This window comes from Homo sapiens, chromosome 2 (genome assembly GCF_000001405.40).
Source record: "Homo sapiens chromosome 2, GRCh38.p14 Primary Assembly".
Lineage (NCBI taxonomy): Eukaryota > Metazoa > Chordata > Mammalia > Primates > Hominidae > Homo > Homo sapiens.
Window position 1 is genome coordinate 97,600,715 of NC_000002.12, and position 23,060 is coordinate 97,623,774.

The window sequence follows — 23,060 nt, forward strand, 5'->3', positions numbered from 1 at the left end:
GCTTTGTTCATTTCTTTTTAGTCTTTTTTCTCTAGACTCTTCTCACTTCATTTCATTCAACTCATCTTCAATCACTGATACCCTTTCTTCCACTTGATCGAATTGGCTACTGAAGCTTGTGCATGTGTCATGAAGTTCTCATGCCCTGCTTTTCAGCTCCATCAGGTCATTTAAGGTCTTCTCTACACTGTTTATTCTAGTTAGCCATTTGTCTAATCAAGGTTAGATTAAGACAAACCTTAAAAATCTTTTCAAGGTTTTTAGCTTCTTTGCAATGGGTTAGAATATTCTTCAGCTCAGAGAAGTTTGTTACTACCTACCTTCTGAAGCCTACTTCTGTCAACTCATTAAAGTCATTCTCTGTCCAGTTTTGTTCCGTTGCTGGTGAGCAGCTGCGATCCTTTGGAGAAGAGGCGCTCTGATTTTTGGAATTTTCAGCTTTCCTGCTCTGGTTTCTCTCCATGTTTGTTGTTTTATCTACCTTTGGTCTTTGATGTTGGTGACCTACAGATGGGGTTTTGGTGTGGATGTCCTTTTTGTTGATGTTGATGCTATTCTTTTCTGTTTGTTAGTTTTCCTTCTAACAGTCAGGACCCTCAGCTGCAGGTCTTTTGGAGTTTGCTGGAGGTCCACTCCAGACCTGTTTGCCTGGGTATCACAAGGGGAGGCTGCAGAACAGCAAATATTGCTGCCTGATCCTTCCTCTGGAAGCATCATCCCAGAGCGGCACCTGCCTGTGTGAGGTGTCTGTTGGCTCCTACTGGGAGGTGTCTCCCAGTCAGGCTACACAGGGATCAGGGACCCACTTGAGGAGGTAGTCTGTCTGTTCTCAGAGCTCGAACGCCATGCTGGGAGAACCACTGCTCTCTTCAGAGCTGTCAGACAGGGACGTTTTAAGTCTGCAGAAGTTGTCTGATGCCTTTTGTTCAGCTATGCCCTGCCCACAGAGGTTGAGTCTATAAAGGTAGTAGGCCTTGCTGAGCTGCAGTGGGCTCCACCCAGTTCAAGCTTCCTGGCAGCTTTGTTTACCTACTCAAGCCTCGGCAATGGCAGACGCCCCTCCACCACCTCCCACAAGGCTGCCACCTCGCAGGTCGATCTCAGACTGCCGCGCTAGCAGAGAGCAAAGGACCATGGGCATGGGACTCACTGAGCCAGGCACGGGAGGGAATTTTCTGGTCTGCTGGTTGCTAAGACCATGGGAAAAGTGCAGTATTTGGGCAGAAGTGTACCGTTTTTCCAGGTACAGTCTGTCACGGCTTCCCTTGGCTAGGAAAGGGAAATCCCCTGACCTCTTGCACTTCCCAGGTGAGGCAATGCCCCGCCCTGCTTCGGCTCACCCTCCATGGGCTGCACCCACTGTCCAACAAGTCCCAGTGAGATGAACCAGGAACCTCAGTTGGAAATGCAGAAATCACCCATCTTCTGTGTCAATCTCACTGGAAGCTGCAGAACGGAGCTGTTCCTACTTGGCCATCTTGGAAGTGACTAATTGATTCTTTAATCCATAATCTGAGCATCCACCTTATATGGGATTGCTTTTCATGATGACCACCATGAATGGCCAGATTATAACATGTTAGAAAACAAAACACACAGGGGAACTTACCAAAAGGAGTAAAAGATTTCTTAGACAAAATTTCAAAGCAGAAACCATAAGGCAGAAAAAGTGGAGGGGATTTCATGATGTTACAATCAAATAGATCTGTTGCAAGTGACACATGGCAAAATGAGAGAAGTTATGTGCAGTCTAAAACTGACAAGAGATTAGCAGCCTCAATATACGAGGAACTCCTGAAAATTAACAAGAAAAATAAATAGACAAAGGACACGAGCAGGCAGTTTTTGGGAGAGGAAACCCCAAAAGCCAGGAAGCATATGAGGAAGTGGCTAAGATCATTAGTACAGAAATACACATTCTAACAATAAGATATATGAGGAAATAGTTCTCCAAAAAAGATACACAGATGGTCAATGAGCACAAAAAAAGGTGCTGAGAATCACCCAGAATAAGGGAAATGCAGATGAAAACTACAGTGAGATAGCACTTCATACCCACTAGAATAGCTACTGTCAAGAAAACCCGAAAATACCGAGTGTTGGTGAGGAGTGAGACATTAGACCCTTGTGCACTACCGGTGGGTATGTAAAATGGTGCCGCCACTGTGGACAACAACATGGCCATTCCTAAAAAAAAATTCAAATAGAATTACCGTATGACCAAGAATTTCCACTTCTGGACGTATTCCCAAAAGGATTGAAAGCAGGATGTTAAAGAGATATTGTATATCCAAGTTCATAGCAGCAGCATTCATAGGAACCAAAAAGTGGAAGCAAGTGTCCATTGATAGACGAATGCATGAACAAAATGTGGTCTATACATGCAATAAAATATGATTCAGCCTTAGAAAGGGAGAGAATCCTGTGACAGGCTACATCGTGGATGAACCTTGAGGGCATTATGCTAAGTGGAATAGCCAGTCACAAAAAGACAGTATTCCACTTACATGTGATACCTAGAATAATCAAATTCATAGAAACAGAAAATAGAATGATTGCCAAGGGCTGGGGCAAAAACGGAATGGGAAGTTAGTATCTAATTGGACACAGTGTTTCAGTTTCACAAAAGTAGAGTTCTTGAGATGGATGGTGGTAATGGTTGCACAACAATGTGAAAGTATTTGATACCACTAAAGTGTACAATTAACAGTGGTTAAGATGGGAAACTTTATGTTCTGTGTGCTTTACTACAATTTGAACTAGATACAACCTTATACATACATGGTAGGCAAAATTCTCAGCTGAACTCCAATAGGCAAGCACTTCTGTAATCCTCTCCTGGTAAATGTGCTTCTAATTAATAGATTCTAACAAAGGTGATGATGTGCCATATGGAAAAGGGGAAAAGAATTTGCCAATGTAATTAAAGTCCCTGATCAGTTGACTTTATGTTAATGAAAAAGGACATCATCCAGGGTGCATCTAATCAGGTGAGCCCTTTAAAAAAGGATGTAAAGGTATGAGACTATCTCTCCTGCTGACATTGAAGAAGCAAGTCTCCTTGAGTTCTACAACCACTCGGAGATGAATACTGCCAGCCACCTGAGGCAGCCTGGAATCAGATCTTTCTCCAGTGGAGCCTCTGATGAGAATGCAGCCTGGCCAACACCGGGTTACAGTCTGAGCAGAGCACCCAGCTAAGCCGAGCCCAGAATCCTGGCCCACAGAAAATGGGAGATGAAAAATAAATGGTGTTTTAAGCCACACGATTTGTGTTAACTTGTTCTGCAGCTGTAGAAAACTAATGCAATCTTTTAGGCAAAACTAATCTAGGAAGAGACAAGTATTGGAGCTGGGCACAGTGGCAGATGCCTGTCATCCCAGCTACTCAGGAGGCTGAGGTGAGAGGATCCCATGAGCCCAGGAGTTTGGGGCTGCAGTGAGCTATGATCGCACCTCTAAGTAGCCAGGGCAACAAGTGAGACCCTGCCTCAAAAAGAAAAAAAAAAGAAGTCTTCATGTTGGGTGGGGAAGTGGGGAAGTTGATGAGGGCACTGCTTGTGGAGTGTAGACCAGAGCCACCATTGTGGAGGGATTTTGATCAATAGTATGCATCCCTTACACCCCTGCTATTCCATTTCCAGGTAGAGATGTAAAAGAAATTGACACATTCGTCAAACATGCACACCAAGATGTTCACTGCAGAGTTCTTTGTGGTAGTGTGGGGATGGGGGCTGCGGGAGGCACCCTAGGGTTTCTATCCTGGGGAGAACGGAGAGACAAAATGGGAATGGTCCACACCATGGAGAATTATGCAGCCACAAGGAGAGATGAAAGGCACACATAGCAACATGGATGGGCCTGAACACAGGACTGAGTTTAAAAAGGAAGAAGCAACATGGGAACCCAAACATTACCATTTGCAGACATTAAAAAACACATAAAGACTGTATCTCTTTTGAAAGAGCATTTTTAAAGCAGCACAGGAGGTGGGGGAATCTATGGGGAGCATGTTGCCCATGCAGGGGAAGGGAATGGGAGTGAGTGTGGAGACAAAAGAATAAATAAAACAAAAGTGGTTTTATTGGACCAACAATAATTCACTGAGTAGTTTAGCGCAACTTGAGGGTAAAATTAATGGCACCTGGATCTGGGGCAGCTGCAGAGGCAGCGACGTCCAGGCCTTTGTGCAGGGGGGCTGAGGTCACCCGTGCAGGTGGGGAAACAGTAAATGCCAATGAAGCAGGTGTGTGTGGTATAGAGCGAGCAAGAAAGGAGAGATTACTTTGGCCTAAGAGGGATATCTGCATTTATATTACTAATGAGTTTCCACTGTAAGCCACAGAAAGCCCGGCTCAAAGCGATTTTTTTTTCTTTACAAACAGAATTTATTGACTCAAGTGACTAAAATGTCCAGGCTGACTCCCTTGGGTGGGAAAGATGGTTGCCAGCAGGGCCAGGCGTATTCTCTCCAGCTAGGAAACCAGAATTGTGGACCTCCCTTTCTCAGAGGTTTCCACAAAAGCCCCAAGGCTGGTCCCCTTTGGTCAGAAAGAGTGACACGCCTGAACAAATCCCCAGGGCCAGGCCCGGGTCACATCGCCACCTGCAGACAGCAAGGGCTTCCAGCATAGGCATGGCATGAGCACAAGCTCGTGGAGGGACGTCTTTGGGAACAAAGCTGGAAAAGTAGGAGGTGAGGTTCCATGGCTGCCAGCTCAGGCGTGACCTTCGCTGCCACTTACTCAACTTGGAGGCTGTTGGTGGATGGAGGAGAGCCCTGGAGCATTTCCTCCCGGAAAGGAAATGCCTCCAGAAGTGCCTCCCTCTAGGTCCTTCTCACTGCCAAAAAGTCCCTTTCCCAGAGAGGAAGGAGGCTCAAGGGCTCAGAGCGTTCTCAACACAAATGACTGTGGGGAGAGCCCTCGTGGGGGCCTGGGTCATTGCAAGAGGGAGCTCATGTGGATGCAAATCTATATAATCGGTTGCCAAAAAAGTACTGAGCCGGCCTGTTTTCATCCTGTACCAGGCGGCCTGCAGAGGACAGAATGTCCACGCTGTCTCTACAGAAATCCTTTCCGGCCAAGCCCCAGGGCCTGGGGGTTCTCCAGCACTTAACCACCAGCTTTCCTGCCCTGCCCGCACAGGAGCAGCCAGTGGGTGGCTGCCATTATTGTCTCCAGGGGCACTGGGGGCGATGCTGGGCTGGGTAGGGCTGTGTGGGGCTGAGGGCAGTGTGGGTTCTGAGGGTCAGGAAATGACCTTCCTTTATGCACTACCACAACACCTCCCACAAACCACTCCTCCTGCTGCCTGGGGTTTTGAACACAGTCCTGGCCTCTTTATGGCAGTGGCAGGCAGTGTGGTTTTGGAATGGCCAGCCTGCCACAGGAGGCAGAGCTCCCACTGTGCCAGGAGGCAGAGCTCCCACTGTGCCGGCAAACAATAAGCACTGTTGTTTTTCCCCAGAGTGGGGCTGCCCGGTACTGGTCTGTGCCTGTCTCTCTGGAGCAGGAAATCGAGCAGAGGGAAATGTGTGGATTGGTTAGAGTGCTGTCAGCTGCAAGGAACAGAAAACCCAACTCAAAGGGGCTTAAACAATCAAGATGTGTCTCCTGTGCCAAGCAGTGCAGAGGTAGGACAGCTCAGGGCTGGTTAGATCAGGGCCGCAGGAAGCCAACAGGGACCCAGGTTTATTCCACATTCCATGCTGCCCTCCTCTTCAGTGGGCCAGTCTGTTTTCAGGCCAGCTTCCCTCATAATCACAAGACAGCTGCCACAGTTCCAGGCATCACCTCCAGATATGACAACACCCAGCAAAAGAGACTCTCTTCTCCTGGATCCATCTTTTAAAGAGTAAGGGAACTTTTCCCAGAATTTCACCCAGCAGCTCTTCCATCATGTCTCACTGGCCAGAATTGCATCACAGACCTATCCTTAGCCAGTATTTGACAGAGGAAACAGGAAAGCCATGACTGGCTTGAAGGGCATGGACTACCCCAATAGCACAGGGTTTGGATGCTCCTGCAGATGCTCCAACAGCCTTCACCACACCAGGAGACAGAAGTTCTTCCCAGTTGGAGATCAGCTTTATTCACCATTGAGGATGTGATGTTTGGAGCTGTAGGGGCCATCTTGCAGCAATGGGGGGAAATTCAAGAACATCTCAGACTTGCTAATGCCATGCTTTGCCTTTACTGGGCCGTGAGACAATCCTGGGACCACATAGGTTTGTTATGTGAGTAAAATGAACTCCTGTTCAATGAGGCCTCCATTAGTTGAGTTTTCTTTACTTGCAGCCCAACTGACACAGAGTTCAGTTGTTCTGGGCAGTGGAGGGACAGGAAAGGCTCCAATGGCAGCCATTCTCCTTTGGGTTCCCATCCTCTGTGATGAGAAATCCTCGTAAAAATCACCCACCAGGACACTGAGATGGCCAAGTTTCTGCTGACCTTCCATGTGTCCTTGCAAACTTCAGAGGAAACTGGACCCTGGGCAAAATGATGAAATTAGAGAGTCCCTGAGCCCTTCTTCTCACCAGAAAACTCCACCCATGACCCAAATTCCCAGAGAACATAGGAAATTATCAGTTATAATTGCAAATAATAAAGACTTAGAAACCTGACAAGAGGGTCTTAAGCAAACACGGTTTGGGGTTTTTCTATTCCTTGAGTAATGAGAAGCCCAAAGGTCAGGATCCATGATGGTCCCACTGCTGGGGCTGTGGTGAGGCTATAGGGGACCAGGGTCCTTCCAGCTCCCTGTGTTGACATCCTCACCAGGTGCCTTCATCCTCAGGGTCACAAATACCTGCTGCTACACCTTCAGGCAGAACTTTGTGCCCCAGGGAGGAATATAGGGAAGGGGAAAGGTACAGTGAAGAGCCACCAGGCCCAACAGGAAAGCAGTAGCTGTCCTGGAAGCCCCACTCTGAAGATGCCTGTCATGGGCTGTACTGTGTTGTGTAACCACCTTTGGCTTTGAGGGAGAGGAAGGGGAGAATGGCTGTGGACTAGGTAGCTAGCTGCGTCGGCCACCAGGTGTGGAGTCCGGAAACCTGGGACTCAACCCAACACTGCTTCCTGCTGCCTTCAGTAACCCCAGGCAGCCCAGGTCATTGCTGCAGCCTCAGCAGCCTCTCCTGCCTGGCAGAAAGTGGGGGAAGAGAACTGCCTCCATGAGGGTTCCTGAAGGCTGGGTGTTCACTTGGCCTTCTCCCCATCTGGGGCAATGGGTCCTAGGGCAAGCATGGAATGGGAAGTGTGGCTTATTCAAGGCTCTTCTGATGTCAAGTGATAGAAATTGATTCAACTCATCTATAGGGAAAAAGGGCGGGTGATAATTAATTTATTTCAGACCCAATGGGCAAGAGGAGCAGTCAGACCTCAGGAAGGAACTGACCTCAAGCTAGCAAGCCCTTGGAGACAGAGGCAGCCACTCCTCCTTGCTCCCCGGCCCCAGGGTTGCCTGCCTCTGCTGTTCTCCCCTCACCCACTATACCTTCTTTCCCTCTGGATGGAAAGGGGTTTCTCAGCCTCACAGCTTCTGCATTCCCATGAACAATGGGCTGCCAGTCTCTCTGAATTCGTATTTCACATTCCTAGGAGAGACTGTCTGATGATCCAGCTCACCCTGATGTCTGTCTCTTGGCCAGTCAATCCAGCCATAGAGTTAGAGCAGTTCCCAGAAAAGAGGGGCTGGATGAGGCTGACCAGCACACTGCAAAATTGACTTCAGGGGAGGAAGAGAAGCAGAGGCAGGAGGGTCCTCTTGGAGATCTGGGGGAAAGAGAGACAGGGCATTCCTTTAGGACCTGTGCCTCAAAGACCAGTGGGAAGAGACAGCTGGGTGAGGACAGGCTTCAGGTACTCTCATGTGTCCAGATCAAATACGGCTTTAACCCCTCTCTAAGTCATCGCAAATCTTTATTTTGCAAATAGCAGAAAATGCCATTCAAATGGCTTGGCTGAAAAAGAGAATGTGTGGACCCACCTAACTGAAAAGTCAGAGCCAGGAGGGACTCAGCCATGGTTCGATCCAGAGGTTCAACATTTACTTGCAATATTTTCTCTGCAAGTTTCATTTTGTTTCTGTTTCCAGTTCTCTACAAGTCATTCATCTCTATTTCTTTGCGAGACAGTTTCATTTGAGGCTGGCTTTCCCCCTGTGGCACAAGTGGCTGCTTTATGTCAGCATTTCAGTGAAGTCCTTAGATGGGCTCTGAGTGGCCCAGCTTTTGTCACATGCCCCCTCCTGAACAAATCAACTCCTGTTGGGAAGGAAGGTAGTTTGCCGATTGGCTTGGTCAAGTCACAGTCTCCCTTCTTCTCAGCCCCTTCAAGAAGGAAATCGGCTTCTTTGGGCTCACACCATCCCCCAGCAGATCTCTGGACTATGATCAAGAACAGGGAGAAAATGAAGCAAGTGTTCCCACACTAGTCATTTCCAAGAGCTGGCCAGTTAGCACAGAACAAGAAAACACACGCACGGGGCACTGGCATGTGGGCAGCTGAAGAAGGGCCCTGAAGATGTACAAGTCCTAATTTCTGGAGCCCATGAATATGTTAGGTTACATGGCAAGGAGAAGTTAAGGGCCCAAATGGGATTACGGTCACTAATCAGCTGACCTCGATGTCAGGAGATTATCCTGAATTATTCAGGTGGGATGTGCAAGAGGGAGGTAGGCGAGTCCGCGTGAGGGTGCGCAGTGTGAGAAAGCCTCACAACAATTGCTGGCTTTGGAAATGGAAGGGGGCTGTGAGCCAGGGCATGTGGGCAGCTCAGAGAAGCACAGAAAGAGATTCTTCTCCACAGTCTCCAGAAAGGAACGCAGCCCCGATGACGCCTTGGCTGTAGCCCAGTGACACCCAGGTCAGAGTCTGACCTCCAGAACTGCAAAATAATAGATGTGTGTTGTTCTGAGCCACTGAGCTGGTGGTAATTTGTTACAGCAGCAGTGAGAAACAAAAACACGGCATTCCAAGGGCAGTACTCTGCATGGCAGGAGTGACAGAGTGGTGCCCAGTGCAACGGTGTGTGACAGAAATACAACATGCACTGCAATGGGGATCTTAAGTTTTCTAGTGGCCACATTAAGAAAGAAAAAGAGGCCGGGTGTGGTGGCTCATGCCTGTAATACCAGCAGTTTGAGAGGCTGAGTGGGTGGATGGCTTGAGGTTGGGAGTTCGAGACCAGCCTGGCCAACACGGTGAAACCCTGTCTCCACTAAAAATACAAAAATTAGCCAGGAGTTATGGTGGGTGCCTGTAATCCCAGCTGCTCAGGAGGCGAGGCAGGAGAACACTTGAATCTGGGAGGCAGAGTTTGCAGTGAGCCAAGATCGCACCACTGCACGCCAGCCTAGGCAACAGAGCGAGACTCCATGTAAAAAAAAAAAAAAGAAAAGAAAGAAAAAAAACAGGTAAAATTAATTTCAATAATATATTTTAACCCAATATATTCAAAATACTATCATTGCAATGTGTCATCAATATACAAAATATTGAGAAGGTGTTTCCCATTCTTTTTAATCCCCAGTTTTAGAATTCAGTGTATATTTTACACACAGCACATCTCAACATTTCTGAGCTCCTTTTCAGTGCTCATCAGGCACACATGGTTAGTGGCTGCTGCCCTGGACAGCACAGGCCTAGTGACTGTACTTTTGGTTGTAAGGGTGGCAGTGGCTGGCATGAACCAGAACAGGGGTTTGTTTGTGACAGTGACAAGGAGACCGCTAACCCCTGCTGATCTGTGTGTCCAGTTTTATTTCTCTTTTTTCTAATTTTTTTATTTCCATACATACCCTGCTTGTATATCAAGCTCTTTTCTAATCAGGGATCCTCAAATGACAGGAGTTGACCTCTGATTGTGTTTGTGCATTTCAAAGCCCAGAGCTGTGACCTCAGCCACGGTGGGCAGGATGGGTGCTGGAGAAGGGCATTAAGGCTCCCAGCTTTGTGGGGGAAATGGCATCTTCTTGAGTGAGTGGGGAAGTGCAAATAGAATATGCACAAGCTAGGAAGGACGTTTTTAAAGCCTGTGCTTCGAACATTCTTCCTCTAAAGGATCAGGTGAGCTGGCTCAGAGCAGGGAGCCAACCGCTGAGCCAGGGTGAGAGGGCTTTGTATTTGGAGAGTGAAAAGAATACGGTTGTTTAGGCTTTGGACTCAGAGCATCAGAAACTCAGGAGAAATGAGATCAGCTGAAAAAGAAATGGGTTTGATGTTGTAGACCAAACATGAACAGTGGGGAACAGGCTGAAAAATGAGGGGAGAACAGTCAGCAGCTTCCACGGCTTCTCCCAAATGGAGGGAAGTGGGGCCAGCTCAGGGGACAGGCTGGAGGCTTATGACGGAAAGATGGTGGGGTCCAGGTGTGGCAGGACAGGAGGCAAAGCTGGGGGCTGCTATGGGACAGAGGGGGCAGAGGGAAAGTTGTGCTGCTAATGGGGTCACAAGAGTCACTTATGGCCTGGGGCCTTCAAGAACCAAGGGAAGCCCTCCCAGAGCCCAGCACCACCACAAGCAATGCTCACGGCTCCAGCCAGCAAGACTTGGGGTAGCAGCCCCCAGCCTCTCTCCCCATATTGGGGACAAAAGAGAACTGGAGAAGCCAGAGAGAGGGAGCTGGCCAAGCCTTTCCGGAGGGCACAGCCCAGGCCTCCACCATCCTCTCCCCATGTGTGCTCAACCCTTAAACACTTTGCTAAGCATTACAGGTCAGGCCCCTCCCCTGTGTGTTCAACCCTTTAACACTTTGCTAAGCATTACAGGAGTTCTTCTGCTAGAAGTGGCCAATCAAATGTCCCTGGGCTTGGCTCTTGGTCCATGGCAACATTCCTTGCTTTTGGAGAGGGTGTGGGGTCCAGGAGCTAAGTGTACCCTTCAGCCAAGTCATATATCCTCTCACTCAACCTCACAATAATCATTCCAGGTGGTATCATTCTTACCCATTTTACAAAGGTGAGGTTGACCCTGTGTAATAGTCAGGGTAGGCTTGGTTACGCTGCTGTAACACACAGCTCTAAACATCTCATAACTTAACACAGTAGTTTACCTCTCACTCCCACTCATGGGGGCTGGCGAGGGAATCTGCTCCATGCAGGTCGCTCAGGGATTCAGGCTGATTGAGGCTCTGCTGTCTGGAACAGTGGCCTCTGCCAACTCCCTGGCAGGGGAAGACACAGATGGAGGTGCGTACTGGCTTCTTTAGAATTTGGCATGATCCTGCCTAACTAGAAAGGTGCTGAGTAGTCTGAGGAACATCTGGGCTGTCTGAGGATCCCCTAGTCCCCTAGATTGGGAAGTGGGAGCGAGGCTTAACTGAAGCGTGTCTAATGTCAAAGTCCTTGCTGTCAGCCCCGCCTTATGCAGCTTCCCCCCTAAACCACTGTGAAAACGTGTGAGCTGTGTGGTAATGTGCCAATTCCAGGGGTGTCAACACCATGACCCCCAGATATTCTCATACACTGCCTCCTTAGCCCATCCCAGGCAAAGAGGGCTCTGCAAACCAGGGACCCTGCGAGGCCAGGGGACAGTGGGATTATACTGCCCCATCCCCTCTGGCCTGCCTCCCGCCCTTCCAGCCTGCTCACTGTGTCCCTGCTGAGTCCCATGACTCTCAGCTGCCCTCAGGATCCTGCCTCTGAAGAGTCCTTTCCTTCCTGTGGAATCTGGAGCCTGGTCCTCCTTCTCCAAGGCAGCACCTGCCAGGTTCCTCACTGGCAGCAAGCAGCCTTGCTAACAGCCTTGCTAATCCATTAATTACCTGCTTCTAGCAGAAGAGCTGTTAATTGAAAACTCCACCCCCTCCTTTAATTGCCTGCCTGCCTCTGGCTGTCTAGGCTTCCCTGGGTTCCCTCCAGGCCCGCAGCCCTTGGTTCTCTGCCTTTGGGCTCCTGACTTCTTCCTGGTCAATAAGGGTGTCTGTGGCTGTCTCTGCAGTGCTCATTACTGGGGTTGCCAGGTGAGAATCCGGGGCTACACTCCCTAGCCTGCAGCTAACAGCCTCTCTCCTGCCTGGCCCACTGTGGGAGGAAGGAAAGCATTTAATGCAATTTGCCCCAGAAATTAAGGGGGAGATAACAGGCCAGTGGGAGGATTCCACAGGGTAGCAGATTTTACTGAAACCAAAGGCTGAACTCCTCCAGGTCAGAGCTAGCCAGAGGGGCCAGCCACCCAGAGGGGCTGCACCACTTCCTGGAAGGGTCCACCCTGACTCTAAGTCTCAGCCCTGCCCGGAGGATTTTCTGACCTCAGTCCTTTGAGTCTGGACACACGAGGGCTCAAGGTGGCCCCGACCTTAATCACCACTTCCCTCCCAGATACATCACCAGATTCTCCAGGCACAGTTAGAATTTGGCAATATTGACAATCTGAAGAGTGAAAAAGAAGTGAATTTCAGAAAAATGAGGTCAATATCCCATTTTCCAATATAACTGTATGAATATTGTATACATATATGTTGATAAACACCTTTTTTAAAAGGTCTGATACAAACCCCACCAAACTCTTACTAAGAGTGGCTACTTCTGGAGAGTGGGAGAGGAGAGGGAGAGGGAGGACTCACAGTGGATCTTCACTGTTTGGATTATTTCACTAGAAAGGGAGCAGGCGAGCATTAGTCCTCAAAGGCCCTATGATCTTGAACAAGGCGCCTGGCCACTCTGAGCCTCAGTGCCTCATCTGTAAGAGGGAGGCTTCTCCCATGTCCCCTTTTACTCTGGATTAGGACGCGTGGTTGAGTGCAACCTAAACCAACCCAAGCTTGTCTAAGAAAAGGGGAAGAGTTTCCCGGGACACAAGGATTTTTATGCATCCAGACCTTAGGCAGCGGAGAGAATCCTGGGGAGGGCTCTGCACGTCTCCTTACTGTGTGCCTGCTTCCTGTAAGGTCCTCTGAATGGGCTGCACCATGGTCAAGCCATTGTGACCCCTGTGACCCACACGTACAGGCCTCCTGGAGTCACAAAGCCTGGAGCACTAGGAGAACCACTAAAGAAGAAGAAACAGCTAGTTCCTGCCTTAACTGATGAACTGACCTTGCAGCATTGCACCATTGTGATATGTTCCTGCCCCAACTAATCCATCCACCTTGTGATGTTGTGCCTTGTGACCTCCCCCACCTCGTGACTATGCACCTTGTGACATTCTTCCCCTGCCCGAAAAAACTGCCCCTAACTGTAACTTTCCACTACCTACTCCAAGCCTATAAAACTAACTCCACTCCCACAACCCTCCACTGACTTTCTTTTCGGACTCAGCCCACTTGCATCTGAGTGGATAAACAGCCTGTTGCTCACACTTAGCCTGTTCAGGGCATCTCAAAACACAGCAGCCAGGTTTACACCTTATGGGCCCAGCCCTCTAGAGAGTTGCAGGTCCTATTTCTAAAGTCCTGGGCAGGGATCTTACTGACTAGCTTGGTGACTGCATCGAGGCTGATAGGCTGGGTTATGTAGGTAACAAGTAGCCCACTGTTTCAATGGATGAAAATAGCGAAGTTTATTTCTGACATATGCAGTATGACCACTGAGTCAGCAGGAGGGCTCTGGGCATCACAGTCACTGGGTGACCCAGTCTGACAGAGTTTCATCTCAACAGGTGTGTCCAGGATCTCAGAGACAGGAATAGAGAACATGCTGGCCCACACAAGGGCTCCTAAGGCTTCTGTCTGAAAGTGACATTCCACCCACTTCCACCCACATTTTGTTGGTAAGAGCAACTCACATGGCCATGCTTGAATTGAAGTGGATGGAGAAGTCAACTCCTACCATGGGCCTGGCATAAAGGAGACTTGAACATCTGTGAACAGCCCGGATGACTACCATAATGACACCTCACCAAGAGCCCCTGCCCACTCCATTTCACCTGGCCCATCGCTGCAGGACTTCCCACTGTGCAGGTGAATGCTGCCAGGGAAGGAGGGAGAGAGTCCATGGAGGGTTCAGTTTCTAGCTGTTGCTATCTGGCTCCTTTTCTGTGGCAATAAATAGGTAAACATTGTCATGGCAGAGATGTAGAAGTCCCGCAGGAGGCGCCCTGTGAATCCCAGAGAGTTGCCGAGCCCAGCCTCTGGGCCTCAGAGTCACAGGAGGGAAGATGTCTTCCCAGCTCAACCCTTCCCCTCCTCCAGCAGGAAAGTTGCACTTTTGAGAGTGAAGGCCGGGTGGGGGTGAGGTGGGAGTGTGGCACCTTTGGCATTTTCTGCCTGAACAAAACTGCGGCCCCTGTCTGCCTTGGTGGCTGTCCCTGGCTTTGCTTTCAGAGACATCACCTCTCTGTGGTCATTTTGGAGGAAGATGTGCCTCGGGATCTGGGTTTCGAGCTCTGGCTCTGTCGCTAACGGGCTGGCTCTGTGACCTAGGCAGGTCAATGAACCCCTCCAGAGCCTCCGTTTCCTCATCTGTAAACTGGGTTATCATAATGTCTGCCTCCCTAGCGAGCTCTCTGGATTCTCGTGAGGACCGGCTGTTATGGGGGGCATCACGGCTCTTTGTCCAGGTGACACGTGGGAAATATGAGGGCTTATCTTTGTGCTGCTGTGGCCTTCTTGGGATTCTCCCTGAGGACTGGCCCTGCCCTGCCTTGCTCTTGCCCCTGGGAACGGCCCACCCTGTCTCCTGCCTCCCCACCCAGACGGGAAGCAGTCACTCTGCCAGCTCTCAAGGACTCATCTCTGAGGTTTTAGACAGAATAATTTCCTCTCCCTCTCACGCCTGCCTGTCCGGGAAAATCACACAACCCACGCAGGACCCCCCCTACGTGCACCCACATGCCCCACAGCCATTGTCTCCTGCACCAGCCAGCAGAAAAGCAGAGTGGGGCATGGGAGGAGGATGCGGAGGCTGCAGGAAGGGGGGGTGACACCCCCAACCCTGAGGGTCTCCTGGTGTCAGGCCAAGAGCTGACATGGACATGGGGAGACAGGAGCCAGGCTCCTTCCAGATCCTCCCACAACCTGGGTTTCAGCCACCCTCAGCCACCCTGCCAAGGCCGCAGGTGCTGCACAAGGCCACAGGCAAATGTCCGGCTGAGGACTGAGGTAGGGGCTGGATCCCACAGCCCATTGGTAACAGAGACTGGATGAGAACGCCCGAGTCCAGTGCTCTTTCTGCACTGCTTCCCAGAACTTCCTGCCACTAGGGACCTGCAGCCAGAAAGGACAGGGCAGGAGGTACAGAGAGAGCAGAGAGAGCCTGCTCCAAGGGAGAGCCTCGGGACACAGGGAGTCTCATTCCTCCCTCCCAGCACGGGCTACGCCCATGCCACTCAGGCCTGAGCCACAGGGCACTGCCTAGCCCTGCTTGGGCCGGGGCTCACCAGCCCTTACAGACAGCAGGCCCCGCCTCCAAGACACTACCCCATGGCAGGGGAAAGCCTTGGGGTCCCCATAAAATGCAGGCATCGCCAGACAGAGAATAGGTCTTCCCAGGATGGGAAGATTTACTTAGGGAGGGGCCACCCTGGATACCCTGCCCTCCAGTAGCAGCCAGGTTCCGGAAGATCCCATGAGGGGCCAGTGTGGACCCCTCCCCTTCAACCATCCAGGCCTGCAGGTCTGGGGCTAATGGTGGGGAAAGGGGGCTCCAGCAGCTGAGGCGGGGCAGAGCCAGTGGATGGAGGCAGAAGGCGGGCAAATCTCAGGCACATTTTCTGCAGTGATAAAGACCTTTTGCTCAGCAGCTAGCTTCCACGGCACTTCTCCCCCACATGACACCACATCAGGGCCCACAGGAGAAAGTCCGGAGTAGGCTGAGGCACTGGGTCCCCTCCCTTCTCCCAAACACACCTGCCTACAGGGGGCACTGCCCCCTCTCAGAGACTGGGGGTGGAAGCTTAGCTGCAGGGGGTGGGATGGCTCCAGGACAGGAGAGCCATCCAAGAGAAGGCCAGGGCTCTGGGAGAAGAGGGGGTCCTACTGCCCTCCCGGAACAGGGCTCCTGGCTCCGTGAAGCCATCTCCACAACTCCCACAGCTGCCTCCTCTTCCCCTCCTCAAACTCCCACAGCCACCTCCAGCTCCCGCACCGTGAGGTCTGCTCCACGACCGCAGGAGCCAGACAGAGGCCGGGGTAGCCTCAGGCAGACAGACACTTTTGTGGGTGTTCACCCAGAGCTAGACCTCAGGGAAAACAGGGGTGGCCTGGGGGCTGAGAATTCGGCAGTCCCAGCACATCCAGGACCATAAATACACCATGCCCTTTGACCCGCTAACCCCACTGTTTGGAATTCCTCCCAAAAACATAATTGCAAAGGGAAAAATAGCTATATGTGCACAGCTGTTTATAGCAACACTATTTATCATAGTAAACAAGTCAAGTCAGCCAAAATACTTTGCAAGTTGTGGGAGGGGGAACTGTGGGTCAATAAGGTGGGATATTTATTATACGTACAAGAAAAATGGTAAACTTGTAAAATTACTCATACAATAATGTTAACAGCAGTGAGAAGACAAACTTGCACATATCTGTTCAGGCAGCAGACAATGACTGAGCACCCCGTCTGGGCTACACAGCTGCTCCAGGTGCCAGAGAGATCCCCATGAACAGGACCAAGTCCACGCCCTCGTGGAGGGAACATTCCAGAAGTGCACCATAGGGTCAAAGGTAAATTAAAACCACAGGCAAGTACTTCCCCAAGGCAGGGAGATGGACAGAACCGAGTGTTGTCCACTGCGGGGTCCATCCTTCCTGGGCTGGTGGGTCACCAGGGAGTGGCCCCACAGAGGTCTGCAGGCTCCTAAGGCAGGAGCCAGACCCAGGATCAAAGCGAGGGGCACCTGGCCAAGGGCAGTGGGTCCTGCCAGACCACAGGGTCTTCTCCCCACAGGAGGGAAATTTGTCAGGCTGCTTTTAGGAATCCCATGAACCTTTGGGGTTTGTGCATGAACCAGGGGAGGAGCAGTCCCCGAGACTGTGAGCTCAGTTTTCTACTAACCTAACAAGCTAGGAAGGGTCACAACTGAGGGGCTGGGGATCCATTTTGCCTCCAGCATGGCCAGATCTGCAAGCAGGAGATGTCGTATGGTGGCCTGGGAGGCAAAGGGGTCTGAGTCAAAGGTAAAGGTGTAATCTGAAGGTGGACTGGCCCCCATCCTGCCGGCTCCCTGTGGTCCAGAGAGTTGGAGAAAGCCCCTTGGACCAGAGCCTTCCCACACTTGGTCCTGTGTCGGGTAGGAGATTTGCAGGAGGCCGTTTCTGCTGTTCCAGAGCCCAGACAGACTTCCCTGGGGTGCTGGGAGCTAAGGCATGGAATTGCAGTCGCCTCCCAGGTGCAGGGCCCTGGGTGGAGCTGCTGGCTGCAGCCAGGGCCAGGGAGCAGAGATCCCTCTCTGCCACCCTGCCCCACCAAAGGCAATGAAGAAACTCCAAGCTCTGGGTCTGTGGGAGGCACCAGGCAAACAGAGGAGTCAGCAAGCTAAACATGCTATTAGCAGCGATGGAGAAGTGACAATTGTCTGCACAGCTATCAGAAGCAGCTCCCCGCCGCCTGGCACCAGCACCTGGGGAGGGGCTGCCACTCATCGGCCTTCACAGAGATGCCCCAGGCTGGGAAAGAAAGACCAGCAGGCCGGATGTTCTGTGCCACCACTCCCTCGTCCTTAGCTGCAGGGATCTTGCCCTTCATCCAGAGACTGAGACCTGGAAGCGAGGCCCACCTCTGCACCTGCCCCCATAGCTGGGCCTTCGTTCCTCAAACTGTAAGCTGGGGATGAAAGTAATACCAGCTTTTGTGGCAGAATTGTTGGGAGGGACCAGTGAGATATTTTGTCTGAAGCACCTTGCAAATGGTAAAGGGCTATGGGGTCACTGCTGTTACAATTCTTCTATCAAAAATCTAATCTTCAGGGCTTTCACTGTTTCATTCACACAGAATGAAATTGAGGCTCAAGAGGTTACATGATTTGACCAAGTCACACAACTGCAAACAAGTAGGTGTCAGTTTCCAGGATCGAAACCAGGAGGAAGCTCAAAGAGCATCCAGCCCCCATGCTGTAAAAGGGATTCAAGGCCCAGAACCAGAAGGTGATTAGCCTTGCAGCAGGACAGAGGGCAGACAGCACCGAAGCCCAGGTCTGCTCACTCTGCTGGGAGCACTTCCCAGGCCACTGTGGATCTGGGCCTTGTCCTCAGCTTGGGGTGGCTGCAGGAGCATCCTGAGGAATGAACCCATGCCAGAGCACTGAAGATGCCCCCACCGCCCCCGCTGCAGACTCCTCACCCAGGTCTCTTCATCTCAAAGGGGCTGTCATAGAGGCCCAGGGCTGTGACCTGGAGGAACACACTCCACCTTCCTGACATCCAGCCCGTCTATCACTCTGATGGTGGAAAGGTGGGTTCCAGAGCCTGCTCAAGACACAGTGTGCAGAGCAGGGAAGGAGCCTGCCCAGGCACAAGGCAGGGGCCCCTCTCAAAGCCTCATGCGCTGCCTGGGGCCCTTGACAACCTGAGGCCTTCCAGGATGCTTTGAATTCAGTCTTCTTGGCCCTGCTGCTGCCCCACTTGACAGAAGAGAGATGGATGGGGAGGTGAGAGGCACTGCCCGCCTAACCACCCACCACCCGTCACTTCTGCCTTTTGAAATCACTTTCGTGGGCAGAGGCAGGGATGCTGATCACACCATGTGGGAGGGACTTGGAGGGTGGGGCGGTGACTCACAGGACAGTGGGGGATAGGAAGCAGCTCCAGAGCCTCCCTGGTAGTGAAAGGGAAGGGCGCTAGTGACTCAGGGACAGCTGGGGAGGGGCGCATGGGGAGGGAGCTCATTCCCCCCAGCTCTGTGCCCTGCATGCCTGGGGGGTGACCTCCTGTGGTGGGCCCCGATCTTGCCCCTGTGGGGCAGTCTTTGCCCTCAGCTTGCTTCCCAGCAGTAGCCAGGCAGCCAGTAGCTGCATGGTGAGTGAATTCCAATCTCGCCCGCTGCCGCCCAGCTGTGCAGACCTTCGGCAGGCTGAGTGCTCCTCTGCCCTCACATCTAGGCCTTTAGATGGAAGCAGAGCCCGACTCATAGAGCCAATTGCCCATCCTGCAGCTGTGAATGTTGCAGCTTCCAGCAGGTTCTTGCTGCAGACTTACTGAGAGGACAGAGTGCTGTGGCAGGCCACCCCAGCCTGCTGGGCACCCCCTCCAAGATGGCCCCAACAAATAGTAAATAAATGCCCCACTCCCAGGCCTGCTTGCTTCCGGTGCTCCTTTCACCTCTGCCCTGCACTGAGCCCCCTGATTATGGCTCCCTGATTCATTCTCAGCAACACCCGGTGTCCCCAGAACGCTACACACTGGGCCCTGGTGGGGCACAAGGGAAACAGCACATCTCAGACTGGGGTTTTCAAACCCAAAGAGAGTCTCCCACCTAGACAGAGGCAGAAGAGAGGCAGGCTCACGTGGTTGAACTGTGTCCCCTGTGCCCATAACACTCAGCCCATCCCCTACCACCTCCTCCCCGGCCACCTTCCCTGACATCGAGCCCATCCATCACCAAAGTCTCCCCAGAGCCCAACTACTGTCATCCCAAGCCCTGCCTCAGTCAGGCCACTGCCCCCTTCACTTTCTATCCAGGAGACCCAGCCAGCCAGTCAGCTCTGTCCTGAGATGGAAATGCGGCCACAGGGAGGAGAGCAGGGGGAGAGCAGGGGCCCAGGCTTCTTCCCCTCCTCATTACCCATCCATCCATTGGTTCATCTGTCTGTCCGTCTATCCACCTATCTACCCATCCATCCATCCATCCATTCATCTGTCCATCCACCTATCTATCTACCATCCATCCATTCAGTCATCTGTCTGTCCATCTATCCATCCATCCATCTACCCACCAATCCATCCATTCTTCTGTCTATCCATCCATGCATCCATCCACCCATTTACTCATTCCTCCATCCATTCATTCATCTGTCCATCCATCTATCCATCTACCATCCATTCATTCATCCATCCATCCATTCATCTGTCTACCCATCTATGCATCCACCCACCTATCTGTCCATTCTTCCATCCATTCATTCATCTATCCATCTACCATCCATCCATCCATTCATTCGTCTGTCTATCCATCTATCCACCCATCCAAACATCTATCCATCCATCCATCCACCCATCTATCCATCCATCCATCCACCCATCTATCCATCCATCCACCCATCTATCCATCCATCCATCCACCCATCTATCCATCCATTCATCCATCCATCCATTCATCTGTTCATCCATCCACACATCCATCCATCTAATCTCAGAATGCTTAATGATGTCACGCCGTGCACATGGGTCTCCTGGAACATCAGCTCTAAAGGGGGAAGGATTACTTCTAGGTTTGTTCCCTGTGGTAACCTAGTGCCTAGAAGTTGGCAGAAAGTCAGTGTTGAATACATATTTGTTGAATGTCAAATGACTGAATGAATGAATAGATTCTTCACCTGGAGAAGGGGAGTAGAGCTCACCAGCTCTCATCTTCAACTCTGGATGATCCAGTCCAAATCCCAGGCCATCCAGAGGTACAGCCCCAAGTCCAGGAAAGGGCATGACTTGTCCAAAGCCACCTGGCAAGGAAAGAGCAGGGCCGGGTGTCCGGCCTGGGTATTCTTCACCCAAATTAGTGTTTTCCCCCCTAACTACTAAGAGCCTCCTGTGCCGGCAGTCCCTGGGAGCAGCAGCAGAAGCCTAGAGCCCAGGAGCGGAGCCAGTGGCCAGAGTAGAAGCCAAGACTAGGAGCCTCTGAAGAGCAGGAACCTTCCTGAGTGGGGTTTGGATATTCCCAGCAGGAGGAAGAGTGTGTGCTGTGTGGCAAAGCTGTCCCAGCTGCCCAGAGGAGCAGCAAGTGCTCTGTTGGCCTTGCAATCCCTGCCCCATGGCAGGATGAGCAGGCTCTGGCCTGGAATGCACCAACTGGGCAGCCCTCCAAGCCCAGCCACCGCCCCTAGGCTTTCATGCCCCTCCACCTCTAGCTCTGGGGGCCCCAGGAGTCAATGCCCACTTCAGCTCCAGCCAACATGGCCTGGGATCTGGTCTGATCTAGGCTCTGACCTCAGCTCTGCCCCTAGCTGGCTGCGTGGCCTTGGAAAGCTCACTTCTCCTCTCTGCCTCAGGCAAGCCCTGCTCCTCAGCCTCACTCAGGACTGCGGAAAAATGCATGTTCTTGGGCCTGTCACTAGAGATTCTGCTTCAGCATGTCTGCAGAGAACTCAGAAATAAGCAGTTTACAAATGCTGCCACTCAAGCATTTAAGGAGACAGGCTGAATGAGGGCAGAGGGCCCCATGGCTGAACCACCCCATGGCATCTGGCTCTGGGCAGGCCACCTGAACACTGCCCAGCCTCGGTCCTCTTACCTGCTCAATGAGGATGACCAGGGAATCCTGTGGGTTTTGGCAGGTCCTGTGGGAGATGGTGTGGTAACAGCACTTGGCCATACCTTACAGGACTCCAAAGGGTAAGGGGCTCAGGTCTATTGGGATCCATTTCGGCTGTGAGTAACAGCAGCTGAATACCATGGAAGTTGATTTCTCTCTCCTATCTGTCTGTGGGAAGCTCAGAGCACTTGCTGGCAAGGGAAGGGGTCTCAGAGGTGGAGGGAGCCCCCACCGCACAGCCCCAGCCTCCCAGGCAGCATAGGGTGGGGACAGGCGCATGCAGAAGTCCTGCTTTCTTCCCTCTGCTTGCACTTTTCAGCCATGTGTGGAGCCTCACGGGGCCTCAGCTGCCTCGTCGGTGAAGTGGGTGTAGTGATAGTGTCCACTCTAGGAGGTGGTCACTTTGAGGATTCGATGAGGTCATCTGTGCAGCACACCTGCTCAGGGCCTGCGCGTGGCACTCCACAGAGCACAAGGCCAGCTCTACTCCTCCAGGCTGCTGCAAAGTGCTGCCAGTGCAGGGGCCTCTCCCTGGGGACTCAGGAAAGGCCAGAATCTATGAGGCTGTTGCTCTGGCCCTGCTGCCTGCATCGCTGATCCATCCTCAGCCTGAACCTCAAGGGCTGCAGCTCAGACACAGCTCTGCTGCTGCTTCCTAGGAACAGAGTGAGGACTCAAAGGGAGGTGCTGGGAGCAACCAAGGACATCAGTGCCTCCTTCTCAACCAGACACCCTGGGCTCTGAGCCCTAATGGTTCTCCCTCCCACTGTGGCCTAAGTGTCTTCACATTCAAGGCTCTGGCAGTCAAGAGGATTACATCTCAACATGAGATTTGGAGGGACCATCCAAACTATATCACACGGTAAGACATGATGTATGTTTATACACTTTATTGGACAATTCGTTTACTGACAGCCAAAAGCACCCTCACAAATACAAAGGCTCAACCCTATCTGGGGAGTCTTTTCAGCCTCATTTTCCACCACTGCTCTTTGATGCCTCTCTGGGTGAACCATGTGTTGCTTTCTCTTTGCTTTGGCTGCTAACTGCAAGGCCCCTCTAGTCTCCTCAAATTGGTGAACTCCTAGTCATCCTTCAAAGCCCAACTCAAATTCCCCTACCTCTACAAAGGCTTCTGAGCTCCCCTAGGCAGAACTCAAAGCCCTGTCTTGCTGCCTTCAAATGTCTTCACTGTGGAATTTCCCACATCATTCTCCAGCCACTTGTCTGCTGGCCACTCTGCTGCACTGTGAGCTCTTGTGTGCTGCAGCCCTTTCTCTGTGATCTGTTATCCCCTAGCATTGCACCTGGTATGCTGCAGGTGCTGGTCAATGCTGCATATTGCATTACTGAAAACACTGCTTCCTCCAGGCCTCCTGTAACCCTTGGCTCTCCTGATGTTCTTGCCCAGCTGGGCAGGAAGGTGGTGCATCTCTCATGTCCCAGGGGAAACAAGCTCTCAGCGAGTGCACAGTATGGGAATAGGCTCCTGCTGCACCACACTGTCCCTGCTCTCTTCAACCCAGGTGGGATCCCTGGCCCAGACAGGAAAAAGGACACCCAAGGTCACCAGCCTGCTTGGAGCAGAGTGGGGCCTCCAGAATTGGGTAGGAAACACTGGGTGTGTTTCAGAGCTGGCATGACAGCTGTCCAAATTGACACAACAGTGCAGGAGGCAGGACCTGTGGGAGTGGAGGGAGCTGTCAGGTGCTGA

General features: G+C 51.7%; 1 long non-coding RNA gene across 2 annotated transcripts, besides 4 other annotated features; it reads right to left on the reverse strand.

Annotated features, from left to right (window-relative positions):
• Window positions 4,946-5,802: an enhancer, noted in NCBI's record as "H3K4me1 hESC enhancer chr2:98222123-98222979 (GRCh37/hg19 assembly coordinates)". NCBI's record gives its function as "activates a minimal SCP1, AML or CMV promoter by ChIP-STARR-seq in primed H9 embryonic stem cells {active_cell/tissue: H9 hESC(primed)}" and the evidence as "EXISTENCE:reporter gene assay evidence [ECO:0000049][PMID:30033119]".
• LOC105373499 (uncharacterized) lies at window positions 6,381-12,188 on the reverse strand. 2 transcript variants are annotated; one of them, XR_007087146.1, is made up of 4 exons: window positions 11,059-12,188; window positions 7,993-8,392; window positions 7,501-7,778; window positions 6,381-6,491 (listed from the first exon to the last, which is right to left on the reverse strand). It is a non-coding gene; the product is annotated as an uncharacterized LOC105373499 (long non-coding RNA). The 2 variants fall into 2 exon arrangements; XR_007087145.1 differs by lacking the exon at window positions 11,059-12,188 and having other exon boundaries at window positions 7,993-9,116.
• Window positions 15,962-16,479: an enhancer, noted in NCBI's record as "H3K27ac-H3K4me1 hESC enhancer chr2:98233139-98233656 (GRCh37/hg19 assembly coordinates)". NCBI's record gives its function as "activates a minimal SCP1, AML or CMV promoter by ChIP-STARR-seq in naive H9 embryonic stem cells {active_cell/tissue: H9 hESC(naive)}" and the evidence as "EXISTENCE:reporter gene assay evidence [ECO:0000049][PMID:30033119]".
• Window positions 17,950-18,831: an enhancer, noted in NCBI's record as "H3K4me1 hESC enhancer chr2:98235127-98236008 (GRCh37/hg19 assembly coordinates)". NCBI's record gives its function as "activates a minimal SCP1, AML or CMV promoter by ChIP-STARR-seq in naive H9 embryonic stem cells {active_cell/tissue: H9 hESC(naive)}" and the evidence as "EXISTENCE:reporter gene assay evidence [ECO:0000049][PMID:30033119]".
• Window positions 21,345-21,845: an enhancer, noted in NCBI's record as "H3K4me1 hESC enhancer chr2:98238522-98239022 (GRCh37/hg19 assembly coordinates)". NCBI's record gives its function as "activates a minimal SCP1, AML or CMV promoter by ChIP-STARR-seq in naive H9 embryonic stem cells {active_cell/tissue: H9 hESC(naive)}" and the evidence as "EXISTENCE:reporter gene assay evidence [ECO:0000049][PMID:30033119]".